Below are 5200 nucleotides of genomic sequence, written 5' to 3'. Positions count from 1 at the left end.
GGAAAAAGGGTCTGGATGCTACACTGGCACCTCCATCTCGTTGCAGCCAACATGCGAAGAGAACCCCAGTCTCTCCTCCCTGTGAGCTCCCACCCGTACTCTTTACCAGGAAGGGCCCCTGGCTTGGGACTGCAGAACAGTTGCCCCACCCCTAGTGAGCATACTCACTGTTACTGGCTCTGTGTTTCCCTGGAGAGGGGTTCCCAGAAGCAACCAACAGCCCCTCTGCCACAACAACAGCAGTGGTTTTGCCCCTGCTGCCTTCAGTCTGGAGAAGAAACAGAAGAGACAAAGAGCCTGAGGGCTTCACTTGTCCTACTAGTACACCACAGCCCCCATATGGAGAGGAGCCCAGTGTTTCCTCCTCCCTTTGAGCCCTCAAGCCCTAGTTCTTCACCAAGTGGAGCCCTTAGCTTGGGCTAGCTGTGTAGTGCCTCACATTTTGGTTGAACATGCCCAGCAGCAATGGCTCCACATTTTTCTAAGGTGAAGCACCCAGAGATAACCAAAAGCCCCTCTGTCACTGCCACTGCACAGTACTGCCCTTTCTGCCCTCAGACTTAGGAAGTAACAAACACTCGGAGGGCTTTAACCACACCTCCAGCAAGCTGTAGTTTCCTTAAGGAGAAGAGGCCACTTTGTCTCCCCTATGACATCCCTGTCCCACCTGTTTATCACCAGGCGAGACCCCCCTTGGCTTAATCCCACAGCACAGCCACTCCACCCTGGTCGATTGTACTGATTAATAGTGGTTCTGCATCTCTCTGGGGTGGAACCCCAAGAAACAAGTAAAAGGTCATCTACCACAATCACTGCCAAGGTCCCTTCCCCTGTTGTCTTCAAGCTGGGGTGAGAACATAAAGCCTGAGCTCACCCTAGAGCTGCAGTGTGCAGCCCAGGAGTGTCAAGCTGATATATGCAGCCAGCACTCCAGTGGGAGAGGAGTCCACATTTTCAGAGCAGTGAGAGGGTAGCGCAGCTGCAATTGGGAGGAAATACACTGGAGCCACATGGCTGAGCAAGAGCCTACCTACTGGTCAATATGCTTAAGCGCCATCTACTGGATCACAGACGAAATGCAAACACCAAAAATACTTGACTGATACACATCCCTGTGAAACCAAAGACAAGAATTCAGCTACAAACAAATACCCTGCACAAAGTTCTGGTCCTCTGAAAACATTCAGAAAAGAAGTTTACTGACTGCACTCAAATTATGCCACAAGTAATAGAACAACAGATGAGAAAGAACTAGTGCAAGAACTCTGGCAACTCAAAAAGCCAGAGTGTCTTCTTTTTCCCATATGACCATACTATTCCCCAGCAAGAGTGATTAAACAGGCTAAAATGATGGAAATTACAGAAATAGAACTCATAATACAGATAGGAACAAAGATCACTGAGATTCAGGAGCAATTGGAAACCCAATCCAAGGAATCTAAGGATTACAGTAAAATGACATTGAAGCTGATAGAGAAAATGGACATTATAAAAAAGAACCAAACAGATGTGAGCAGAATAACACACTGCAAGAATTGCATAATGCAACCACAAGTAATAACAGCAGAATAGACTACACTAAGGAGAAATCTCAGGTCTTGAAGACTGGTCTCAGAACTAAATGAGTCAGACACAAAACAAAAAGGAAGGAAAAAAACTTCTGAGAAATATGGGACTATGTAAAGAGACCACACCTATGATTCATTGGCATCGCTGAAAAAGATGGGAAGAAAGCAAGCAACTTGGAAAATATATTTCAGGATGTTGTCTATTAGTACCTTGCTAGAGAGGCCAGCATTCAAGTTCTGGAAATGCAGAGAACCCTTGCAAGACACTGCACAAGAAGGCTATGTCTAAGACACATAATAATCAGTTTCTCAGAGGTTGAAGTGAAACAAACAAACAAAAACCTTTAAAGGCAGCTAGAGAGAAGGGGCAGGTCACCTACAAAGGGAACGTCATCGGGCTAACAGTAGACATTTTAGCAGAAACAAGCCGGAAGGGAATGGGGGCCTATTATCAGCATTCTCAACTCTTAGAAAATAATTCCAACTAAGAATTTTATATTCAGGTGAGTTAAGACTAATGAGTGAAGGAGAAATAAGATCCTTTTCAGACAAACTGAGGGAGTTTATTAACATTAGATCTGCCTTATAAGAGGTACTGAAATGAGCATTAACTAGACAAGGCCAAGACCCTTACCAGCCAATCCAAAAACACAATTATGTACATAGACCGTTGACAATATAAAGCAGCCACACAAAAAAGTCTGCATATTAACCAGCTAATAACATGATAACAGGATCAAATTTGCACACATCACTACTAACCTTGAATATAAACAGGCTACATGCCCCAATTAAAAGACACAGAGTGGCAAGCTGGATAAAGCAGCAAGACCCAATGGTATCCTGTCTTCAAGAGATGTATCCCACATGCAGTGATGCCCATGGGTTCAAAATAAAGGAATACAGACAAATCTACCAAGCAAATGGAAAACAGAAAAAAGCAGGGGTTGATATCCTAATTTTTGACAAAACAAACTTTAAACCAACAAAGATTTTTAAAAAGTCAAAGATGGGTTCACTTCAAAAATAACACCTAACTACCCTAAATGTATAAGCACCCAGCACAGGAGCACCTAGACTGATAAAGCAAATTGTTAGAGAGCTACACAGAGACTTAAATTTCCACGCAATAACAGTGGGAGACTTCAACACCCCACTGACAGTGTTAGATAGAAAATTAACAAAGATATTGAGGACCTGGACTCAACACTTTACCAAATGAAGCTAATAGACAACTACAGGGCTCTCTACCTCCAAACAATAGAATATACATTATTCTCATTTCTATTCAATAAATGGTGCTAGGAAAACAGACTAGCCATATGCAGAAGATTGAAAGCGGACCCCTTACACCACATACAAAAATCAACTCAAGGTGGATTAAATGCTTAAATATAAAACCTAAAACTATAAAAATCTTGGAAGACAGCCTAGGAAATACCATTCTGGACATAGGACCTGGCAAATATTTTATGACAAAAACATCAAAAGCAATTACAACAAAAACAAAAATTGACAAATGGGACCTAATTAAACTGAAGAGCTTCTGCACAGCAAAGGAAACTATCAACAAAGTAAAAAGAACCTAAAGAATGGGAGAAAATGTTTTCAAACTATACATTTGACGAAGGTCTAAAATACAGAATCTATAAGAAACTTAAACAAATTTACAAGCAAAAAACAACCCATTAAAAACTGGGCAAAGGGGCTGGGCGTGGTGGTTCATGCTTGTAATCCCAGCACTTTGGGAGGCCAAGGCAGGTGGATCATGAGGTCAGGAGTGTGATACCAGCCTGGCCAACACAGTGAAACCCTGTATCTACTAAAAATACAAAAATTAGCTGGGTGTGGTGGTGGGTGCCTATAATCCCAGCTACTTGGGAGGCTGAGGCAGGAGAATCGCTTGAACCCAGAAGGAGGAGGTTGCAGTGACCTGAGATCACGCCTCAGCACTCCAGCCTGGGTGACAGAGCTAGACTCTGTCTCAAAAACAAAACAAAACAAAAAAAGTGAGCAAAAGACATGGACAGATATCAAAAGAAGACATACACATGGTCAATAAGAATATGAAAAAATTCTCAATACCACTAATCATTAGAGAAATGAAAATCATAACCACAGTGAGATACCATATCATACCAGTCAGAATGGCTATTATTAAAAAGTCAAAAATAACACATGCTAGTGAGATTGTACAGAAAAGGTAATATTTATGAATCTTTTTTTCTGCTTGTTCTAGTATATCTTAAAGCTTTTAACTATATTTTGTAATTCCTCCAGGAACTTTTTGATTTCCAATTGTTTCTTTTTTAAAAAATTTCTATCTCTTTAGTAAATTTTTCATTCACATCCTGAATTATTTTCTGATGTTTTTGTGTTGATATTCAACTTTCTCTTGAATCTCATTGAGTTTCCTGACAAGTTATTTTTTTGAATTTTTTATCTATCATTTCAGAATTTTCGATTTGGTTAGAACTCATTTCTTGAGAGCCAGTGGGACCTTTTTATTTTGGTGGAGAGGGTCTTAAAAACTCTGTTATTTAATACCACCAGATTTATTACACTGGTTCTTTCTCTTCTTTAGAAAGTGCCATTTCTTATTTTTGAATGTGCCTTTGTTTCGATGGGACTTTCTTTAAAATTATTTTTGCTTCCTTGAGTGTGTGACTGTAATACATGCTCTGTATAGTTATTTGGCTTTGATTCTGGGCACTTTCAGGGGGCCAAGACTCTGTATGAGTTTCTTGGTTATAGATAGCCTTTGTGTGATGGCTCTCTCAAATATCAGTTGTAGTGACAATGTGCTGAGCATATGATGAGATTATTATTTCCTGCAGGACCACGGTTAGGGAGATCTCAGGTAGTTTATCTTGTTCCACAGAACTGTGCACTTCTGTTAGCCTCTTATGTACTGCATTGTGCAGTTAAGCTTTCTGGCCAGTAGAGCATTTATGAGTGAGAGTTGGATGTGGCAGAAGCTGATGGGTATGTGATCTTTGTCAGCTGGGAGGAGTTTTCTGTGGTCTTGGATGGTAGACTGGCCTGTGGAAAGCCTGGTGCCCTGAGTTTGCTCCTAAGCCCCAGTGTTGGGAACAAAACTGGATGGCACTGGCCTGCTAAGCTTACCCTTGGGAACCCCAATGACAAGCATAAGCACCAGCCCTAATGGAAGTGGCAGGGGGAGCTTGTGGTGAAATGAGGTTTCTGTGGGTGGGGTCAGAGGGAAGGGGCTGCACTAGCTTCATGTCTCAGGCAGGCAGGAATGTAATCCGCTTCTCTATCACACCCCTGCTCCAGGGCTCATGATTTCTAACTTAGATAGACACTGTCACTATCTCCAGGCTGCATTGTAGCTGAGGGCCACAGAAAACAACTTTCTCGTGACTCTTCCTCCAAATGGCCTTGGAGGGTAACTTCTTACCTCAGCGCAAAACAGATGGCTTTGCCAGTCACCTGATCTCTGCTGCAGGAATGCTACCACTCTGTGTAGAGAGGGGGAAATGCTGTGCCTTCTATGCAAGTCTGGGCCTGGTGGGCACACTGACAGTTGGGTTGCAGCCACCCTAATATTCTGGAATGGCCATCCACTGGCACACCCACGCCAGCACCTCATGGGAATAGCCACAGTGGCA

The 5200-nt window shown here is 42.4% G+C and overlaps 1 annotated feature.

The window, feature by feature from the left end:
* Window positions 783–962: an enhancer, noted in NCBI's record as "active region_20190". NCBI's record gives its function as "activates an Ori minimal core promoter by ATAC-STARR-seq in GM12878 lymphoblastoid cells {active_cell/tissue: GM12878}" and the evidence as "EXISTENCE:reporter gene assay evidence [ECO:0000049][PMID:35858748]".

The sequence above is a fragment of the Homo sapiens genome, chromosome 3 (assembly GCF_000001405.40).
Source record: "Homo sapiens chromosome 3, GRCh38.p14 Primary Assembly".
In the NCBI taxonomy this organism is placed as follows: Eukaryota; Metazoa; Chordata; class Mammalia; order Primates; family Hominidae; genus Homo; species Homo sapiens.
Note: the sequence above shows the minus strand (reverse complement) of the source record. Positions and strands in the feature narration are given on the sequence as shown.